Genomic DNA, 24399 nt, shown 5'->3' on the forward strand with positions numbered 1-24399 from the left:
GATAGCTTGATAGATGGATGAGGTAGATAGATACATAGATAGATGATAAGTGGATAGATAATAGATAAAGAAATACATGATAGAAGAGATACACAATAGCTAGATGGATAGATGATAGATAGTAGATAGATAAATAGATGATTGGTAAATAGTTATATAATAGGCAGATAAGAAGAGAATAGATAAATGGATGGATAGATGAATAGATGATACATAGAAAGATAGCAGATGAATGGATGGATGAAAGACGGATAGGTAGATAGAATAAATATATAATAGCTTGATAGATGAATGATAATAGGTAGATAGATGATAGGTAGATAGATAGATGATAGATAAATGGTAGATAATAGATGAACGAATGGATGATAGAACAGTAACATAATAGCTAGATGGATGGATGATAGATAGCAGATACATAAATAAATGATAAGTAAGCAGATAGATAGACGATAGGCAGTTAGGTAGAGAATAGATTAATGGATAGATAGATGAATGAATAATACCTAGAAAGATAGACAGATAGATAATAGATGAATGGATGATAAAAGGTAGATAGATAAATAATAGATGAGACATAGATAGATAGATGATAGATAGATATCCATTAAAATAAAATGCAATGTCATGTGCCAAATACTTAATGCAAAGCAGTGAAGGAGACAAAAGCATCTTCTTATTGGACTTCTGGGCTCTGTGTATATCAGAGATTCTCTAAATTATGGGAGGAGGTGACTCAATTTCATATTAACTCCTCATACGCTGATGCCTCCAACTCTCCACTCAAATTCATCTACCTATCTGCCTATCACCTAACTACTTATCATCTATCTATTTATCTATCTACTCTCTATCATCCACCATTCGTCTAGCCATTAGGTTTCTATTCTGTCTATCTATCAGCCATTTAGATATGTGAGACAAGGGAAAAGGGAAGAAGACAGCAATGGTAAGCCCAAGAAAACTCAATGAGAGCATGTTTGCAACAGTGGATGCCATTTATAAGTAATTTTTTACTTTATTTTACTAAATAAGTGAATGCATGAAGAGCATAGGTTGCTGAGGGAAGGCAGGTGACAGAAGGAAACGGTGGCCTGCTCAGAAAGAAAAGGTAGACAGAAAAAAAGGGGGGCTGCAGGACACCCAGAGATAAACTGGTCAAGATGTACTTGTCCTTAGGAACCAAGAAACACTCATTAATTCATTCCATGGCGACTGTTTCTCCAGCAAGTGGAGAGACAGTAATCTGATCCCCTGAACATGGCCCCAGTAGCAAGGTCAGCTCTGGGCCAAGTTACCAGTTGGGCAAAAGTTCCCAGAATGTCTACCTCGTCCTTTTTGGGGACAGCTGGTTCCTCCACGCCAAACCTATTCTTGCAGTTCTAAGTCTCTAAGTAGCCATTCATCTCTCCTCCCAGGCACGTGTCATGCTATACACACCTGCTGTCTTTCTTTTTTCTTTTTGAGACAGAGTCTAGCTGTGTCATCAGGCTGGAGTGCAGTGGTACGATCTTGACTCACTGTGGCCTCTGCCATCCGGATTCAAGCGATTCTCCTGCCTCAGCCCCCTGAGTAGCTGGGATTACAGGTGCGCGCCACCACACCAGGCTAATTTTTGGGGGGGAGTTTTAATAGAGACAGAGTTTCACCATGTTGGCCAGGCTGGTCTTGAACTCCTGACCTCGGGTGATCCACCCATCCAGGCCTCCCAAAGTACTGGAATTACAGGCATGAGCCACCACGTCGGCCCACACCTGCCTTCTGAGGCATTGAAGATGCACCATTCCCTGTATGTATTAGGGTTGCAGGATTAAATATAAGACTTCGATTTAACTTGGGTTTGAAGATAAACAATTATTTTAAAATATATATTGTAAGTATATCCTACATATTTAATAAGTCATACTAAAAATGATCCATCATTAATCTGAAACTCACTTTTAATTGGACATTTTGTATTTTCATTTGCTAGACCTGACAATCCTAATACAGAGCATTTTCATTTTGAGAAGTAAAAGATACGTGGATTCCTATGACTCCAAATGTCTGCCCCTTTAGCATCTATATGTGTGTGTGTATGTATGTGTGTATATATGTATTGTGTATGTGTGTATATATATGTGTGTGTATGTATGTGTGTACATATGTGTGTGTATGTATGTGTGTATATATATGTGTGTGTGTATGTATGTGTGTATATATATGTGTGTATGTATATGTGTATATATGTGTGTGTATGTGTATATATGTGTGTGTATGTATGTGTGTATATATGTGTGTATATATGTGTGTGTATGTATGTTTGTATATATGTGTGTGTATGTGTGTGTATATATATGTGTATGTATGTGTGTGTATGTGTGTATATATGTGTGTATGTATGTGTGTATATATATGTGTGTGTGTATGTATGTGTGTATATATATGTGTGTGTGTGTATGTGTGTATATATATGTGTGTGTGTGTATGTGTTTATATATGTGTGTGTATGTATGTGTGTATATATGTGTGTGTGTATGTATGTGTGTATATATATATGTGTGTGTGTGTTTCTATACATCTAGCTATTGTGTATCTATTCTATCATGTATTTCTTTATCTACTATCTACCTATCATCTATCCATTATCTGTCTACCTATCATCTATCTATGTATCTATCTATCACATCCATCTATCAGGCTGTTATATATTTATTCCATCTATTCATCTATCTTCCATCCATCCAATTCATCTGTTATCTATCTTTCTATTTATATATCATCCATCATCTATTTATCCATTCATCTATCTATTCTCTACCTATCTACCTATCATCTATTTTTCTATCATGCATTCATATAGCTATTATGTATCTGTTATATCATCTGTGTATCTATCTGTCATCTATTATGCGTTTATTTATCTATTATCTATATACCTATTACTTATCTATCATCTATCTTTTATGTATGTGCATGCATTCATGCCTGTCTAGATATAGATGCATGTATGTATGTGTGTGTGTATGTAGATGTAGATATTCATTAAGGATTTGAACTGCTTTATAAAAGTTTGTGAACCAACTTATGTGAATAACAAAATTGGATAAGGTAGGGTCACAATATTTGAACAGTATATATTACTGGGACGATTTTCCTGTTTTCTTCAAATCCCACCTTGTTAACAAGTTAATAATAAGATTGATAAGGTCAAGTCAGGTTCCTGAGCTTTAGCCATGAGCTGCATCTTCCTTCTTCCCTGGGTCAGAAGACTCACAGATGATCCCTTATGCCCACAGGCAACAGAAGCTTTTATTTGAAAGTAGCAATGCAGACAGAATGTATTTTTAGAAATTCATTAACATATGGGATGCTAAAGTATTAATCTTATCCTCCTTTGATCACTTTCAGCCTCATGCTTTCTGGGTGTTTTTATAATACGTTTCTTCACATTTGCAAACTATTACATGACTCACATTTGGGAAATAAAAGTGACATTAGTTCAAAAGATTCAAACTTCTTCATTTTGACTCTAAAATCAGAAGTAACCTTTGATGATCTATAAACGCTTTGGATCTTTAATCCAACTATACAGCAAAGGGGAAAAAATTGGCATTTTTAAAGATGTTTTTATTGGAACTCTTCTTACAGAAGAAAAATCAGCAGTTATTTTACTATAACAGAATATACCATCAGTGCAAAGCATAAAGCATTTTAACTGAGTATGCAAATGCTACATGGTTATTCCAAAGGGAAGAGAGGTGAATGGAAAAGAAGATAAGCATGATTTATAGTATGTCAGTGCCTAAGACTGTTACCTTCTTAAAGTAACCAATAAAGAAGAGCAACTGTATCTACTTACATAATTTTAGCAAAGACCTTGAAAACTGCAACAATTTAGAGCAAATGCATATTTGAGCTGTCATTAAGCAGGTAGATTAAAAGAGGAAAATAGTGGTAGTTAAACACAAATATTATGATCAGAAGCGTTTAAAACTGAATGAAGCACATGGCAAGCAGCCATCATTCTGCTGCTCCACATCTAGGAAGAAAAATGCCAAAATAAGGAAGGCAATTTCCAAAATAAAAAAATAAAGCCTTCGCTGGAAGAACGTCTCCATTTTTCTTTATTCTTTGTGGGTTATGCCTACTCTTCCAGTTACTGGTCATCTGGGAATCTGTGGTTGCAAATTGTTAACATATAATTTCTTTCTAAGATACCACATGGTGCCCCTGGAATTAGAGTAGATGTTCTTTGGGGGCTTAGCTTTGGTTTAGAATTAACAAAATGATGAGCAGGCGGAGGATTTACTTTAAAGGAGGTTTAAGATTCCTTCTTGGCTCCAAATTTATCCAGCATTAAATTAAAGGCCTATGAGAGCAAGTAGCCACTAAATAAATCTTTTTTCAAACATTAAGTGTGTATATCATATTTAGGCACACGAAGGGTTTCTGAGGTGAATGTGTTTCATGGATGGATTGCCTGGGAAGGGAGTCCTAATATAAAATGGGTACTTTCTAATTTGGGTATGTATGGCTTTATTCATAAAGAAAAAGCAAACTAGAAAGATATGAGACATCACCCACAACCAATGCTTCAGAAACTTCAATGTACATATGGATCCTGTTAAAATGAAGATTCTGGTGTGGCAGGCTGGGGCTGGGACCCAAAATTCTGCATTTCCAACAGCTCCCAGGTGATGCTGATGCTATGAGCCTATGGACCACACTGAAGGGCTGTGCCCCAGCCCACCACATGTAAGTCACAATCTCCAGGAGCAGAACCTGGCACTGGATTCTTTTTTAAACTCCCAGGGGATGCTACCATGCAATCAGAATTCAAAAACATGAATGTACACTCATAGATGGGTTTTCCAGAAGAGAATAAAACCTAAAATCCCTTAGAGTTGTCCAAGTTCATGTTACAAGACAGCAGCATCGTGAAGACTACAGGCTACTTCCCTGACCTCTAGGTCTTGGTAGCTGACACTTTATTACTCTAATGCGGGGGACCCCAAACCCCCAGGCCATGGAACAGTAGTGGTCTCTCCATCATAGTTCCTCCTTTTACTAACATCATGGCTGCAGGATGCCCTCTTACGATTTAAAAAGTGACATCAAACCAAAGGAGGTGGCCGGGCACGGTGGCTCATGCCTGTAATCCCAGCACTTTGAGTGGCCGAGTGGACCAGTCCTGGTCCATGGCCTGTTAGGAACTGGGCTGCACAGCAGGAAGTGAGCAGCAGGTGAGCGAACTTTCGTCTGTATTTACAGCCATTTCCCATTGCTCCTTACTGCCTGAGCTCCACCTCCTGTCAGATAAGCGGCGGCATTTGATTCTCATAGCTGTGTGAACCCGATAGCGAACTGTGCATGCGAGGGATCAAGGCTGCGTGCTCCTTATGAGAATCTAATGCCTGATGATCTGTCACTGTGTCCCATCACCTCCAGGTACAACCATCTAGTTGCAGGAAAACAAGCTCCGGGCTCCCACTGATCCTACGTGATGGTGAGTTGTAGAATTATTTCATTATATGTTACAATGTAGTTATTATAAAACTAAAGTGCACAATAAATGTAATGCATTTGAATCATCCCAAAACCACCCCTCCCCAGTGTCAGTGGAAAAGTTTTCCTCCATGAAATCAGTCCCTGGTGCCAAAAAGATTGGGGACCACTGCTCTAGTATATATGGTATGAAGAACTTTAATTGATTAAAAGCAATTAAGTGCTAACAGTGAAGAGGTATGAATACAAGAGTAAAGGGAAACTGAATTACAAAAAATATTTTTCCATTCCTCCTTTGGTTTTGGGGATTTTGGGTTTTGTTTTGTTTTTTGAGACAAGATGTTGCTCCACTGCCCAGGCTGGAGTGCAGTGGTGCGATCTCGGCTCACTGCAACCTCTGCCTCCTGGGCTGAAGCAATTCTCCTGCCTCAGCCTCCAGAGTAGCTGGGACTATAGGCATGCGCCACCACACCCAGCTAATTTTTGTATTTTTTGTAGGGTTTCAGCATGTTACCCAAACTGGTCTGGAACTCCTGAGGTCAAGCAATCTGCCCACCTTGGCCTCTCGAAGTGCTGGGATTATAGGCATGAGCCACCACGGCCGGCTCCCTCCTTTGGTTTGATGTCACTTTTTAAATGGCAAGAGGGTATATTGCAGCTGTGATGTTAGCAAAATGAGGAACTATGATGGAGAGGCAGAAAGTGACAGGGAAAGTGGATGAGGAGAGAAGAGAGACAGATCAGATGGGGAAGATTTGGTCAGGAATTCCTTGGGCTTGAGTTTGTAAAACAGACTCCTTTGGCAAAGCCAGATTGCCATGGTGTCGATATCTCACATTCTTTCTCCCGCCCACTGGCTTTTCCTGACATGCCCACTCAACTTCATTAAAAGGTGCAGTGGCTCACGCCTGTAATCCCAGCACTTTGGGAGGCCGAGGTGGGCAGATCACCTGAAGTTGGGAGTTTAAGACCAGCCTGACCAACATGGAGAAACCCCGTCTCTACTAAAAATGCAAAATTAGCTGGATATGGTGGCACATGCCTGTAATCCCAGCTATTCAGGAGTCTGAGGCAGGAGAATCACTTGAAACAGGGAGGTGGAGGTTGCGGTGAGCTGAGATCGCACCATTGCACTCCAGCCTGGGTAACAAGAGCAGAACTCCGTCTCAAAAAAAAAAAAAAAAAAAAAAAAAAAAAGGCCCTATCGGTGTTAAATGTTGCCCACACCACAAAAGCACTTTCTTAAAGAGCCATTGACACGTTGCCTGAAGTCCTATTGACAGAAAGCAGACAATACAGTCAGCCTGAACAATTATTCCTTTTGAAGGCAGCTCCAAAAGACAGGCTCTTCTCTCTGCTCAGAGCTTTGGAAAGAAAAAATCCCAGCCCGGGCTAAAGAGAAAAATGCTTGCAAGATCAACCTGCATTGTCCTGTCACAAATAAGCACAGCGGGGAATATACAGGAATGTCCAAATTGCTGCCTTTCTGAGATTTTTATTTCTTCAAAATGACAAGGCATTCAGCAAAACATGAGAAACAGGTTTGCACAGATTGTCTTGTGGGGAAATCTTACATTGAGGCATATCCTTTTGGCAACTTTGTGGAAACCATCAATGAAACATGTCTGGAGGGAAGTCATCGATTCTACATTGAGAAGGTGCTGTGCAGTGGAACCTCCTACAACCCCACTTCTGGTTTCAGTTGGCATAAAATAGCAAGCATTGTTCATATATTTCTCACCCTAATATGCTTTAGAGTATTTCTTATTTGAAGGGATCATCATTTTACTTTAGTTATATTTTTCTGATAGAAGAAAGATTAAATAGAACAAATGTTAAATTCACAAGAGCAAAGACATGGAATCGGCCTAGGTGCCCATCCACAATAGACTGGCTAAAGAAAATGCACATATACACCATGGTGCATATATACCATGTAATACTATGCAGCCATAAAAAAGAAGAAAATCGTGTCCTTTGCAGCAACACGGATGCAGCCATTTTCCTAAGTAAATTAACGCAGAAACAGAAAATGAAATACTGCATGTTCTCATTTATAAGTAGAAGCTAAACATTGGGTACTCATGGATATAAAGATGAGAACAACAGATACTGGGGACTACTAGAACAGGGAGGGAGGTGGAGGGAAAGGGTTGAAAAACTACCTATTGGGTGCTATGCTCACTACCTCAGTGAGGTGATCAATCATACCCCAAACCTCAGCATTGCACAATACACCCATGCAAAAAACCTGCACGTGTACCCCCTGAATCTCAAATAAAAGTTGAAATTAGTACAAAAATAAAAATTTTAAAAAGGAAACACTAAAAAAGAAAAAAACTGTAGCAAAAATGTTTCTATTTTACAGAAAAAAAAAAAAACATTTATTTATGTTTTGAAAGGACTCCAAGATCCTGAATGAAGAAGGAAAAAAGAAAAAAACCACCCACATATAATGATCATACTGTGTCCTGAAATATGCTGTTGGGTAGAGTAGTAGTTAAGAACTCACACTCATAGCCAGATCCCTGCATCTAGAGTCCAGCTCCCACTTGGATAATTATATGAGCTCTGACTCACTGGTTTAAGAAAGATAATGTCTGCAAATCAATTAGCAATCAGCCCAGCACACAGAAAGCATTCAGTAAATACTATCATGATGATTATATATACTTTTTATTTCTTTACAACAGAGAAGTTCGTTCACTGCTGTGTTTCTCATTACTTTACACATGTTAGCTGTTGGTTTTACTTTGCTCTATTCCAGACATACCATCCACTGACAAGGTGCCAAAGCCACAAGATAATTTAAGACTCATATGAGGAGGAAGGTAGGGGGCATCCAGAGGTGAAAATACCCCCAGGGCATTGTAAGATAACACGTGCAAATAATAATAGTTGTTGTTATTACAGCAATGTGAAGACTAGGAAATAATGATTTATGATTATCCATTGGTCCTGCCAAGAATGATCTCAGCAAGCAGTATTTTAGGTAAATAATGTGTGGGAGGTTCTTAGGTTAATATAGCCATTGAAATTTGAAAAACCCAATTCATGAGGCAGGAGTTCATTTCCCTTGTTATACAACAGAGCTGTGCGTTGGCTTTGTGGTCAAAGACTTTCAGTAAGCTACGCCAGCCTGTGCTATCTGCATGAACGCGGCGAATTCCCTGCCAGTCTTAACTCCCCGTCTAGACATGGAGATAGTCTCCTGATTAGATATCCAGTAGGGAAGCTTTGTAAGAATGCCAGCAGCAGACCTAGGGCACCAGAGGATGCCTGCCATATCTTGCCTCCAATAAACATTGTAGACTAACTCTGAAGCAGAAAGCATCATTACATTACGGAGACATTTCATTTGGCATCTAAAATGTCACACCTCCTTGAAACATTGAGGTGTGTGTGTGTCTGTGTGTGTGTTTGTGTGTGTGTTGTCCCATTAGCGTGTTCTGTTGGTCTGGCCTTAATAATCACTTCACTATATATTGATCATTGAGCATATTTTTACAAAATGTAACCATATGTAGGGATTGAACCTGATTGATTGAGTTTGCTTTTTTTTCAGATGCTCTAAAAACACTGTCCTTTTTGTATTCCATTTCCCTTGTGTTTTAAAAGGGCTCCTGACTTAGGAGTTTCTGTAAACATAACCATGGATTCTCCCTTCCCTTTCCACCAGCCTTTGATTGCTATGGCTGGAGTATTTGTCCTCTCCAAAACTCAAGTGGAGATGGGCACAGTGGCTTATGCCTGGAATCCCGGCAATTTGGGAGGCTGAGGTGGGAGGATTGCTTGAGACCAGGAGTTTGAGACCAGCCTGGCCAACATAGCGAGCCCTCATCTCTACAAAAACTAAAATAAAAAATTAATGAAGTGTGGTGGTGTGCACCTATAGTCCCAGCTAGTAAGTAGGCTGAGATGAGAGGATGGCTTGAACCCAGGAGTTCAAGGCTGCAGTGAGCTGTGATTCACCACTGCACTCCAGCCTGGGTAATGGAGCAAGACCTTGTCTCTATTAAGAAACAAAACACCAAAACAAACAAACAAACAAAAAAACGCATGTTGAAACTTAATCGCCAATGTGGCAGTATTGAGAGGTGGAATCTTTAACAGGTAATTGAGTCATGAGGACTTTGCCCTCCTAAATAGATTAAACCATCCATGTATTAATGGGTTAATAGATTAACGGGTTTTCCCAGGGGTGGGACTGGTGGCTTTTTAAGAAAAGGAAGAGAGACCTGAACTAGCACCCTCAGTCCTCTCACCATATTATGCCCTGTGCTGCCCCAGGGACTCTGTGGAGAGTCCCCACCAGCAAGAAGGCCCTCAACAGATGCCCCTCCTCAACCTTGGACTTCACAGCCCCATAACTTTAAGATGTAAATTCCTTTTTCTTATAAATTACACAGTTTCAGGTATTCTGTTATAAGTAACAGAAAATGGACTAAGACACCAATAGAAATCAAATTTTTCATAATTTTTATATTTATTTCTTTTTAACACAGTTGTTATCATGTGAATCCATCTGTGTCACCCTGAGCCAACATTCTCTGCAATGTTATTGTCCACACTCTTATTGGACCTTTTTTTTCTTAACAGAGATGGGAATCTCAGTCTGTTGCCCAGGCTGGAGTGCAGTGGCACAAACATAGCTCACTGCAACCTCAAACTACTGCACTCAAACGATCCTCCCGCATCAGCCTCCTGAGGCTCTAGGACTACAGGCACATGCCAACACACCTGGCTAAGTTTTTAACATTCTTTTTATTTTTTGTGCAGACAAAGTCTTTCTGTGTTGCCCAAGCTGGTCTTAAACTACTGGCATCAAGCAATCCTTCCACCTCAGCCTCCCAAAGTACTGGGATTACAGGCATGAGCCACTGTCCAAACCTATTGCATCTTTCTGGATGTACTCTTGAATTCTTTAAGTGACTAGATATTATTTCTAAGAATTGGCTCAATACATATTTTGTATGAATTACCAGTTTTCTCTTCCATACAGACTGCATCTCACCCAGGAGGAAAAGTTTATATCTTCTTTGTAAATTCTGAGCATGGTAATGATCCGAATTGCATTGGTATGTTTTGTATCTTACAGTAGTGACTCATTTGAACTGAGACAGAAGAGTCTTATTCTTACATCAGGTCTTAATACATTTTAGAGTTGCAAAGATGAACTTGCATTTATGGCAGAGCCTTTAACACAACTTTTAGGAGCTCTTCCCGCTTCCATTTATAATGAAAATCACACTTCTTGCCAGTGTTAACCTAAGCAACATGCAACAACACCCAATGATGTTATTATCTTCTCATGAAAGGACAGAGACATTAATTGGTCCTTGAGTTTTCTAATGGAAAGACCTTAGAATAGACTCAAGTTCTGCTAGGCAGTGTAAGAACTACACTGTATTAGTCTGTTCTTACACTGCCATAAAGAACTACCTGAGACTGGGTAATTTATAAAGAAAGGAGGTTTAATTGGCTCATGGGTCTGCAGGCTGTACAGGAAGCATGTTGGCTTCTACTTCCAAGGAGGCCTCAGGAAACTTACAATCATGGTGGAAGGTGAAGGGGAAGCAGGCAAGTTCTACATGGCTGGAGCAGGAGGGCGAGAGAGAGAAAGAGATGGGGAGATGCTACATAATTTTAAAAAACCAGATCTTGTGAGAACCATATCAGCACTAGAGGGATGGTGATAAACCATTAGAAACCATCCTCATGATCCAATTGCCTCCCACCAGGCCCCACCTCCAACACTAGGGATTACAATTCAACAAGAGATTTGAATGGGGACATAGATCCAAACCATATCATACACCAAAACTCTTCTCCAGATAGATAGCTACAAGGAAAATGCCAACGAGAAAGCTTCTTTCACCAAGTAGAAGCTTCTTTCACCAGGCAGAAGCTGACTTGCTTGCATTTGGAAGAATTTTTTTTTTTCTCTGTGTAAGTTTTTGTAATACAGTGATATTTTAGGAAAAAGCATCTAACTATCTTTACAAAAAGAAACCAACTAAAATACAATATTGTTGGTTTATTTTGCCTTTGTAATTTTTTAAATTCAGGTGGTGCATGTTCAGGTTTGTTTTATGGATATATTATGTAATGGTGAGCTTGGGTTTCTAGTGAACTCATCACACAAATAGCAAACATTGTACACAACAGGTAGTTTTTCAACCCTCACTTGCTTCCCACCTTCCCACCTTTTGGAGTCCCCAGTATCTATTATCTATTATTTTCATCTTCATGTCCATGTGTATACATTGTTTAGCTCCCACTTATTAGAGAGATCGTGCAGTATTTGACTTTCTGTTTCTGAGTTATTTCACTTACAGATAGTGGCCTCCAATTCCATCTGTGTTGCTGCAAAAGACATGATTTCATTCTTTTTTGTGGCTGAATAGTATTCCACAATATATGTGTACCACATTTTCTTTATTCAGTCCTACAATGATGGACACTTAGGTTGATTCCATGACTTTGCTCTTGTCAATAGTGCTGTGATAAACATATGAGTGCAGGTATCTTTTTGATATAATGATCTATTTTCCTTTGGGTAGATACCCAGTAGAAAGATTGCTGGATGGAATGGTAGTTCTATTTTTACTTCTCTGAGAAATCTCCATATCGTTTTCCACAGAGATTGTATTAATTTACATTCCCACCAAGAGTATATAAGTGTTTGGAAGAAATTGATTAGTGATGTAGTAAAAGCTAACATATATTGAACATTTGTTAATATCCAGGAATTTTCCAAACAGTTCTATGGAGTTAAATTGATTGCCATGAGTAACCTCATTTTACAAGTAAGGAAAAAGGGGCTTTGAGAATGTACACAATGAACTAGGGCTGCAGAGCTTTGGAGGTACTGAGCTGGCATTAGTCCACTGCTATGGGCTGAATTGAGTCCCTCCAAAATTTATATGTTGAAGTCCTAACCCCTAGTTGCTCAAAATGTGACTATATCAGAAAATGGGGTTTCCAAAGAGGTAATTAAGGTAAAATGAGGTTATTAGGGTGGGCCCTAATTCAATATGACTGGGGTCCTTATAAGAAGAGGAGATAAGGACACAGACACACACAGAAGGACACCCCTTGGAGGACACAGGGAGAAGATGGTGTCTCCAAGCCCAGGAGAGAGGCCTCAGGAGTAACCAGCCCTGCCCACACCTTGATCTGGGACTTCCAGCCTCCAGGACTATGGGAGAATCAATGTCTGTTGTTTACAAGCCACCTAGTCTATGGTATTCTGTTATAGCAGCCTGAAATGGACTAAGACATCTCATAAGAGGAGGAGATGAGGACACAGACACACACAGAAGAATGACTCTGTGAGGACACAGGGAGAAGATGATGTCTACAAGCCAAGGAGAGAGGCCTCAGGAGGAACCAGCCCTGTCCACACCTTCGTCTGGGACTTCCAGGCTCTAAGACCCTGACAAAATAAATTCCTTTTGTTTAAGCCACCCATTCTGTGGGACTTCATTATGGCAGCCCCAGAAGACTAACACATACATGAACATTGGAGTTCAGAGCCATGTCTTAAAGCAATAAGGTCTGTTGTGTTAGATTAAAGGTTCATAGAATTGAAGCCCTCAAAGCTATGACTCAGACTTGAAATGCATTCATCCTCTCATCCTCCTCACCTCTGACCGACCTGAAGAAGTGCTGATATTCATCTCGATGTAAAAATCTGTTCAACATTACTCAGGGTCTCACAGAGCCAGCCCCAGGTCTCAGGGCAATTCGGGGGCCACTTGTTCTGGCCCCTTTAAGCTGCCCAGAAACATTTCCTAAGTCCACACAACCTCTCTCCTCAGCTGTGAAATCTTGACACTTCACTAAGTATGACTCTGTCAGAGACGTGTGAAGCAGAGCAACTCCATCTTGAATAGGAGCTAGGTAAAATGAGGCTGAAACCTACTGGGCTGCATTCCCAGACTTAGAAGTCACAGGATGAGACAGGAGGTCAGTATAAGATACAGGTCACAAAGACCTTGCTGATAAAACAGGTTGCTGTAAAGAAGCCAGCCAAATCCCACCAAACCCAAGATGGCCACGAGAGTGACCTCTAGTTGTCCTCACTGCTACACTCCCACCAGCACCGTGACAGTTTACAAACGCCACGGCAACCTCAGGAAGACCCTACATGGTCTAAAAAGGGGAGGCATGAATAATCCACCCCTCGTTTAGCATATCCATTACCAAGTAGCCATTCTTCTATTCCTTTACTTTGCTAATAAACTTGGTTTCACTGTACTCTATGAACTTGTCCCGAATTCTTTCTTGCATGAGATCCAAGAACCCTCTCTTGGGGTCTGGATGAGGACCCTTTTCCTGCAACAAATCTTCCAAGGTTTAACAGTCCTGTATTTAAAGAAAATATCCTCCCAGAAAGGACACAGGGATAAAGCAGAATGAGTGATCCACTGAACGCAATGTGTTTCTCTGAGAAAGCAAGGCAAGGACGATGGATAGATTGTTGAGCAAGCGATGTGGGAGAAGAGGGCATGGGAGGGAAGGATGGGAAATGACAAGGCAGAGAGGCTTTGGGGCCAAGGAGGTGATAGAACAAGAGTAGGAAGAGAGAGAAGATCGGGGAGAAACCAACTGCAATTCTGACTGCAGATTTCCTGCCCTGCTGTTAGAGTTCTTCCTCCTCAGCCAGCCCCTGGGGCTTCTGATACACTTCCTTCCATCCTTTATCCCCCACGTGGGAGGGCAATTTCCTCTCCAGAAACTTGCTCCCTCCAGCAGCAGCCAAATTCTCACCTGCAACATTTCCGGTGGCCTCCGAGAAACCAACCGACCACTAGGTAAAAATCTCAGCCTAGCTGTGTTCCTTCAGGAAAGAAGAGCCTGTCACCACCTTCTGTGGGACTCCTCCCTGCTCTCACCTGGCTAGTTCACACTGTCTGTCTCCTTTCCCTCGCCCAGGAAGATTGACTATTGACCACACACTGAACACCCAGGACGGTGGCCGGAGTATCTGGAGGAGATGTCCTTCAACGTGGTCTGGCCCTTTCATCCAGCTGAGGGCGGAAATGGCTTTTGCAGCTAGGCCTATGTGCAGAGAAATGCTGACATCCAGAGAAACAAAACTGCTTCCCACATGCAAGCTGGGCAGCTGAACAGGCTTGTTTGGGTGGCAGGGGATTCTCCTGACTTCTTCTGGAATCTATTATAATTCTTTTTCCAACATTTTGAATATGTATTTTCAGGAATGGTTCTGCTTTTCATAGGCTTGGTGACTTTTGGAAATTCTTAGAAAATGGACGTTATCTATCTTTGCGTATTAATTATCTCTCTTCCAGGCTTTCAAGGACAACAACAACAAAAAACTCTTTTGGGGGGAGATAAGAGATATCTAGATTGTACTTCAGTCGGTGAAATGTAATGCACAATTTCTTACTGAATTGAAACCTTATTGAAGACAAAACTCTGACCTTTTTTCTTCTCTTGCCAAAATTCCTATCTAAGGGGTCTCGGGAGTCATGCCCTACAAATCATAAAGTCTCCTGAGAGGGGTTTTATTTAACGCTGTATAACGTGGCTTACTTTCCAACCTGACTCTGGCATAATATCATATGACAGTTAAGAAAGGAAATCAAAATATTTTAACCCCAAATATGTTTCTTTGCCATATCTTGAAATAGCCCTGCAAAGCTGTCTCTTGTGAGGGAAAATCTACATTCTGTAGAGAATCTCTTTCCCTTTTCCAGGACTCCTTATCTTAACCCAGACATTTCCTTTCTATTGATTCCAGGTCTTTAGATGAACTCTTTCAACCAATTGCCAATCAGAAAACCTTTGAATCTTCCTGCTATAACCTCGAAGCCACCACTTCCAGTTGTCCCACCTTTCCAAACAAAATCAATGTACATCTTACATGTATTGATTGATGTCTCATATCTCCCTAAAATGTATAAAACCAAGCTGTAGCCTGACCACCTTGGGCAATGTTCTCAGGATCTCCTGGGGCTGTGTCACTGGCCATTGGCCACTCATATTTGGCTCAGAATAAATCTCTTCAAATATTTTACAGAGTTTGACTCTTTTCATCAATAATATATATACAGGTAAGAAAAATAATAAGAAGCAAGCAGTTTCTTTCTGATGATATAAGATATGAGATACCAAATGTAAATGACATAAGATGATGGGGAAACAGAAGAAATGAACATTAGCAATATTCTTTGAGTTGTGGATACTTGAAGTCTCCATTCCCTTTATTTCTGGCTCACTCTAATCTTGTAACTTCCCAATGGGTTCACCTTGCCCGCTGCCTAGACAGAGACGATTTATTAAGACAGGGGAATTGAAATGGAGAAAGAGTAATTCATGCAGAGCCGGCCATGTGGGAGACCAGAGTTTTATTATTACTCAAATCAGTTTCCCTGAGCATTTGGGGATCAGAGTTGTTTATTTAAAAAAAAAATTTATTGAGGTATAATGGACATACACGAAACTGCATATATTTAAAATGTACAATTAGATAATTTTTGCACCCATTAAATCATCACCACAATCAAGGTCATGAACATATCCGTATCCCAAAATGCTTCCTTTATCCCTTTTTTTTTTTTTCTTGAGAGAGAGTCTCACTCTGTTGCCTAGACTGAAGTGCAGTGGCGCAATCTCAGCTCACTGCAACCTCGGGGATCAGAGTTTTTAAAGATAATTTGGTCAGCTGGGCCTTGGGAAGTGGAGAGTGCTTATTGGTCAGGAGATGGAATTGTAGTGGGTCAAAGTGAGGTTTTCTTGCTGTTTTCTGTTCCTGGGTGGGATGGCAGAACTGGTTGAGCCAGATTACTAGTCTGGGTGGTGTCAGCCGATGCATCAAGTGTAGGGGCTGCAAAATATCTCAAGCACTGATCTCAGGTTTGACAATAGTGATGTTACCCCCAGAGGCAATGTGGGGAGGTTCAGACTCTTGGAGCCAGAAGCTGCATGACCCCTAAACTGTAATTTCTAATCTTGTAGCTAATTTGTTAGTCCTGCAAAGGCAGACTGGTCCCCAATCAAGAAGGGGGTCTTTTTGGGGAAAAGGCTATTTTCAATTTTATTTCAGATTCAAACCATGAACTGAATTCCTTCCCAAAGTTAGTTCAGTCTATGCCCAGAAATGAACGAGGACAATTTAAAGGTTAGAAGCAAGATGGAGTCATTTAGGTCTGATCTCTTTCATTGTCATAATTTCCCTCAGTTATAATGTTGCGAAGGCAATTTCAGTCTGAAATCTATCCTATGACTTAATCGCAGCTCTCTGCAAGCTCACCATAATTCAATTAAATCACTCAATCCACTGGATGCAATTGACCTTCACAATTCAACAGACAATTGAATGTTGGAGCACCTCAAAACCTTCTCCTGGACTATTTCCTCTTATTTTATTCACCTTTTGTAAGTTTTTCCATCTCTGCCCCTGACTTCTATCAACGTGTGTAGATCAGTCACTCCAAATGTATGTTTCCAGTTCAGATCTTGTCTACATACTCCAGACCCATATATCCAAGTCCTTTCAACATTTCCTCTCAGATATCTCAAAGGTCATTGCACTTATCAATGCCTAATACTCTTTGGGTATTTTTCCCTTCCAAATCTCATGTTGAAATTTCATCTCCAATGTTGGAGGTGGGGCTGAGTGAGAGGTATTTGGGTCACAGGGGTGGATTCCTCATAAATGCCTTGGTGCCATTCCCTGGTAATGAGTGAGTTTTGGCTCTGTTGGTTCATGTGAGAGCTGGTTGTTTAAGGGAGCCTGGTATCTGTATCTGGCTTCTTGTCTTGCCATGTGTTCTATACACACACCAGCTCCCCTTGCCTTCTGTCATGACGGGAAGATGCCTGAAGTCCTCACCAGAAGTAGATGTCAGTGCCAAGCTTCTTGTAGTCTGCAGAACTGTGAGCCAAATAAACCTCTTTTCTTTAAACCACCCAGCCTCAGGTATTCCTCCACAGTAATGCAAAACAGACTAACACAAGAACAAAGAACAAACTTGTGTCCCAGCCTTTCACGTCCAGTTCCACAAGTCAAGAATCTAGAGGTCTTCATTTTCTCCTTGCAATCAATCTATCTCCAATCCTCATAGATGTTTCTCATTTGTCTGCATTTCTCCTTTTCTATCACCAACCATCTGGTGGAAACTACCTTGGCCTCTGACCTGGACGCTTCATCTGCTTCCTAAATGGCCACCTGTAGACCTGGTATTCCTCCTTCCTTCATCCATTTATTTATTTATTTATTTATTTATTTATCTATTTTACATCTCGAAGAGTTTGCACTCTTGTTGCCCAGGCTGGAGTGCAGTGGCACGATCTCTGCTCACTGCAACCTCCGCCTCCCAGGTTCAAGTGATTCTCCTGTCTCAGCCTCCCAAGTGGCTGGGATTACAGGCACATGCCACCACGCCCAGCTAATTTTTTTTGTATTTTTAGTAGAGACGGGCTTTCACCATGTTGGCCAGGCTGGTCTCGAACTCCTGACCTTAGGTGATCCACCTGCCTCGGCCTCTCAAAGTGCTAGGATTACAGGTGTGCCTTCATCCTTTTAACTGCTTGCCATTGCTCTTACAATGGATGTCATTCTTGATGGCCCTCAAGATGCTCTGCTTTGCCTGGTTTTGGCTCTCACTTCTCTCTACTTTTCACCTTCCCTGAAAACCTAGATTTTCTCTAGCCCTACCTACCCCTGCTGCAGACCCTTTGCCATGCTGTGTCTTCTACTTGGAGCATGCAGAATTTATCTGTGACCTCCTGAACTAGTTCATTCCCTTTGTTACAATTTCTCCTGGCATCATATTTATTTCCCTCATAGTACCTACCACAGTCTATAATGATACAGCTATTTGTCTGATTTTTTTAATTACTGTCTGCCTCCACTAAACCATGCATTCCAGGAGCATGCTTTGTTCATTTTGTTCACTCCCTTATTGCCTTCATTGAGTATTCTGCCTGGAAGAGCATCGGCACATCACCCATACCCATGAACAAATGGATATGAGCACCACAACTGCTGAGCTATCTACAGACTTAGCAGCTAGGAAGCTTGTCTTGGATGAGAATGTTAAATAGGAAACTCTATCCCTCAGGAGTTTCCATTCTGGCTTCTCCTACTGATTCTGAAAAGCAAAGCATGTGCTTGAGTGACTCACACAGCACAGTGCATGAATATGTCTGAAGAGGTTCCTTATGTAGCTCATGGGACCATGTTTAATTGAATAATGTTCTACTACTCAGGTTTTTATCACTTCTGTACACTGAAAGTCTGAGAGTAAATGATTCTTCTCAATGCATTTCTTACCTCCAATTACATTCACCCTAATAATTGTGTTATTCATTGTATGACCTCAGCCTGTGAAGCAAGCTGTCATGTTTTTCCTCAAGCCACCAAGACTTGGGGTCAAGATGCTTGGCAGGGAATGGGGCAGTTGGAAAACACTAAGGAGCATTTCTTCTCTGCTCAAGGGCAATGATTAATTTGGAAATGGGAGATACTTTGATCAACCGATGCTACTGTTGAACTCCTTAAATTATGTGTATTAATTATTCTATTTTCCCAATTGCAGCAATGACAAAGTCACAGAGAGATTCCTGTAAGACAGAGTACCTAAAAAGGAGAGTGGTGTATGTGTGTGTGTGTGCGTGCATGCGCACACTTGTATGTAGAATTCCACCAACACTAGGATAAATGTTTGTCTCTGTATTTAGCTTGGCTATAACTCCATAACATGAAAGTAGACTCATTTAAGTCATCAGTGAACACCATGTTAAACCCTAAGACAGATGGATATAAGGATAATATGTATGCATACATGGGCCAAGGTTGCAGCATACAGCATATTAATGAATCCTGTCCCAAACCCAGCAAGTTCCTTAGATGTTTAAAAAAAATTATTCAAATTGAAGTCAATATCCAACTACAGGTAGCTTAAACTTTGCAAAAGAAATGTCTTATTAGATGCTAGAGTGACTTAGAAACATTGAATTCCATGTCTGAAGCTTTTTTCTTAACTCTAAAGCCTTTTAATGTTATGAGTTGACTCCAGGGTAAAATTTAGAATATGTATATAGAGAGACTGAGTATCCCTCATACAACCCTTCATTACTAATGTAGTTTACCTTAGAGTCTAAAGAAGATTGAAGAGTAGAAATTTCAAAGTTAGCATCTTCAGCAAGAACCTAGTCCAGATATTGACGACAACTAAGACAGCAAAAGTTAGCATTGTGTCTTCTCATGAAAATGGAATTCTCTAGCAAAATGTTGCATCTAATGGATACCACCACGCAATCTTGCAAGAAAAGGGACTGGGGATACCTCTGGTGGGGAAAAAATTTCCCCAGAGAATAATTCAGCATTGGTTTCAGTGAACATATGGTTGTTGAAGACTTACTAACAGGAACATTGACAAATAATGATGTTTCTGGATTAATTTATTTACTCATTTACATTTTAAAAATCATTTATTAACTCACTTATTGGTACCATGTGCCAATCTTCCACTTTGCCCAAAGGGGATGCCAAATTCATTTACCACATCAGTTAACAATGAAAACAAACAAAAACTTGTTTTTCATTAAAAGCAAATTCAGTGTTCCAAAATGGTTGATTTGAATGATCTAATGTCTCTGTAAAGAAAATCTCTTTTTGACAAAAGAGAAAACTACTTGGCCCCTTCCCATCCCACCCACAAGGACTGAAAGAGATATTCTGCAGTTTTCCCTAAAATAGGCCTGTGGCTTTAATGTTAACTGTTGGTACAACTTTTGTTGTTGTACTGTGCTGGGAAAAAGCGGGTAGAATAATAAATCTACCTTTTATTGGTCTTACAAAGGAAAAATGCACGTAAAAGGATTTCGATAGAACTTTTCAATAAAAGAGAAAAATGAACTTTCTGTCTTCCAAGAATACCAAAAATAGAGTCTGCAGGAATATCAGGCAGGAGCTATTAAATGCCCTATAGATCGCATGAACAAATAATAAGTTCCTGGGATCCTTTATGGTCATTTATAATATCGTTGAACTGAAAAAGCAACCAATAAACAGATAAACAGATAGCTTACTTTCCTTGCTCTCAAGGAAAGAGTCAAAGAAATGGAGATTTTAGAGATAATCCATTGGTATACCAGCAAGACCAAGTATCTCTGGGCTCAGTAGGGGTGTATGCAGAGCCACATGGATAGAAAAATCTGTGCCATAAATATGTGTTTTCCCACAAGCCCGCCCACATCACATAGAGGTCACCTTTGGGGAAGATTTTGTTATTTTAACTAAAATTGATCTGTTTCTTTTAATTTTAAAATATTTAATTTATACTAAACAATGTAGAAGAATGTTCTTTAAATTTGATTCAATATAATTTTTATGTATAAAAATTGGGCAATATTTTGGAATATACCCTTTATGTTATATATATGCACACACACATAGCACATACACATATACATAACATTTATTTCATATGTCTATAAGATGTGAATACACATATATACATATAAACATATATATTTGTTTATGTGGGTACATGCTATGGACTGAATGTATCTCCCCAAAATTCATGTGTTGAACCCTCATCTCCAAGGTGATGGTGTTGGGAGGCGGGGCCTTTGGAAGGTGATGAGGTCGTGAGGGTGGGGCTTCATGAATGGGATAAGTGCCCTCATAAAAGGGATCCCAGATAGCTCCCTCGCCCCTTCCACCATGTGAGAACACAGCAAGAAGGCTCCATCTAGGAACCAGGAAACCCTCACTAGACACTGAATCTACCACACCTTGATCTGGGACTTCCAGCCTCCAAAAATGTAAGCAATAAGTGTCTTTTGTTTATAAGCCTCTCAGTCTGTGGTATTTTGTTATAGTAGCTCAGACAACATACGACAGTATATATTAGTATTTGTATAATTCCATTTCCTGAGCAGTTTTGAGTAAAGTAAATCATGAATCTTTGAATTTATGCCTTTTCTTATCTGCTTTATCTTTAATCCTTATTTTTCTTCTTATAGAATATTGAGACATAAATATTTAAGTGTAAAATTTTCATCATAAAAAAGGCAGAAGTTTGAAAATATGTTGCAAATTGAAATTAGACTTTAACAAAGTGTATTGTTAAGGATAACAATAAAAAATATTTTACTCCGCACGCTAGTAATATCTGGAAGCTCAAACATCAAACAGTATTTATAGTATTCATCCTGATCCCTTCGTTAATGGCAAGTGAGACTGAGCATAGCAACTGTTGGCCTAAGACCATACATTTTCATTTTTCAGTAAATATTAACTTCATAAATGAAATTATTGGCTCCCCACGTTTCCCATGTAAAGTATCATATGGCATGTACGTTTGAATATCCAGCTTCAAAAGTTACTAATCAATAAAATTGAAAGTAGCAATGTTGCAATAGAAGCATCAATTCAGTGAGTTTTCAAAGAAGCTCACAGATTTACTGTTTGTGAAACTCACATTTTCCATCTGTTTTCTAGGAAAAAGTTATCCCAGACAGACAAATTAGATCCTGGTAGCTGAAATGATCTTAAAGCTGTCAACTACTATAAGCAGTAAGTCCCAAATGGTGGGTGAAGGGTGGTACAGTATCCTGGTATCTATCAAAGCTATCTCTAATTTATTTTTTTATGGGCAATGAGGAATGCCACTTAATCTTGGAACGCTTTTTTCTTGTTTTTCTCCATTACATATAAATAACATTGCATTTGGAAAATAGCTCAATTATCCAGTTGTAAGAATACAATTGAACTATAGATTCTCTCTCCTTACATCTCTTCTTCTGCCAGCTTTTGCTTTTTTCTCAATTATTCCTGCTTCCCTCCTTTTCCTCCCATTCATCCTCTTTATCCCTCTTTGGAAACTGTGCCTCCTATAAAAGATGGGGCCAAAATGCTAAAGAAAACACGCTTTGTCTAAATCTGCATGCCACTAATATCCGGAAGCTGAAACATCAAACAATATTTATCGTATTCATCCTCCTGATCCCTTCATTAATAGCAAGATCATTGCCATCAGTATTTTGTGTCACAAAAACCATCTGCTTTGTATTACTTTGCTCAGGCTTACATAACAAAGAACCATAAACTGGGAAGCTTAAAAAACAGACATTTATTTCTCACAGTCCTGGAGTCTGGAAGTCCCAGAGGAAGGTGTGGGTGGGGCTGGCTCCTCCTGAGGCCTCTCTCCTGGACTTGCCTACACCGTCTTCTCCCTGTGTCCTCACAGGGTCAACCTTCTGTGTGTGTCTGTGTCCTCATCTCCTCCTCTTATGAGATGTCTTAGTCCATTTCAGGCTGCTATCACAGAATACCATAGACCGGGTGGATTATAAACAACAGACATTTATTCTCTCACAGTTCTGGAGGCTGGAAGTCTGAGATAAAAGTGTGAGCAAGACTGGCTCCTCCTGAGGCCTTTGTCCTGAGCTTGTAGACTCCATCTTCTCCCTGTGTCCTCACCAGGTCGTCTCTCTGTGTGTGTCTGTGTCCTCATCTTCTCTTCTCATAAAGTGTATTAGTCCATTTCAGGCTCCTACAACAGAACACTGTAGACTGGGAGGCTTATAAACAACAGACATTTATTGCTTGCCATTCTTGAGGCTTGAAATCCAAGTTAAAAGCATGGCGGATTCAGCGTCTGGTGAGGCCCCACTTCCTGGTTCATAGACGGCACCTTCTCATGGGTCCTCACATGGTGGAAGGGGCGAGGGAGCTCTCCGAGGTCCCTTTTGTAAGGGTACTCATTCCATTCATGAGGCTCTTCTTGAGCCCTGGGAGTAAGAATTCCAACGTTGAATCTTAGGGGGACACAAACATTTAGACGATACCATAAGGCCAAGAGTCGTATTGAATTAGGGTCCAGCCTAATGACCTCATGTAACTTAATTACCTCGTGAAAGACCCAATCCCCAAATACAACCATCTTCCATGGCACTAGGAATTAGGACTTCAGCATATGAATTTCTAGGGACAGAATTCAGCCCATAATAAGTTCCTTCACCAACCATGTTATCATCCTTGCTCCCTAGAACTCAGACATACATCTACCCACCCACACCCATACACACACACACACACACACACACACACACACACACACACACACACAGATCCAAATGTCCATTGGGATACATAGGACCTCTCAAGTTAGTGATATTCTTTTTTAGGTTTGGAGATTCTAGCTGCATTCACAATTGAAGCTCACTCCATCCTCTGGGATATCTTGATTTAAGATGGTCACCAAACCAGTAACACTACAGAGACTGTTGTGACATTTGCAAATGCTTGTAGACACCTAACGGCCAGTTCCTCTTTTTATTTTATTTTTCTAAGTAGTTTATTATTTCTAAGTATTATATGGTATATACATTTGAATATCAAGCTTCAAAAGTAACTAATCGGCTAGGCACAGTGGTTCATGCCTGTAATCCTAGCACTTTGGGAGGACGAGGTGGGCAGATCACTTGAGGTCAGGAGTTTGAGAGCAGCCTGGCCAACATGGCGAAATCCCGTCTGTACTAAAAATACAAAAATTATCCAGGCGTGGTGGCGTGCGCCTGTAATCACAGCTACACAGGAGGCTGAGGCAGGAGAATCACTTGAACCTGAGAAGCAGAGGTTGCAGTGAGCCAAGATCATGCCAATGCACTCCAGCCTGGGCAACAGAGAAAGACTCTGTCTCAAAAAAAAAAAAAAGTAACTAATCGATAAAATTAAAGGTGGCAATGTTGCAACAGATGCAGCCATTCAGTTATTTCTCAAAATAGCCTCACAGAATTCTTTGTCTGTTCAACTCACATTTTCCACCTTTGTTTCTAGGGAAAGGTTATCCACATGAAAACCAAATACCAAATGTTCTCATTTAAAATTCTTTAAATAAATTTGATTGTGTATATGTGAGGTTTACA

Source organism: Homo sapiens, chromosome X (assembly GCF_000001405.40).
Source record: "Homo sapiens chromosome X, GRCh38.p14 Primary Assembly".
In the NCBI taxonomy this organism is placed as follows: Eukaryota; Metazoa; Chordata; class Mammalia; order Primates; family Hominidae; genus Homo; species Homo sapiens.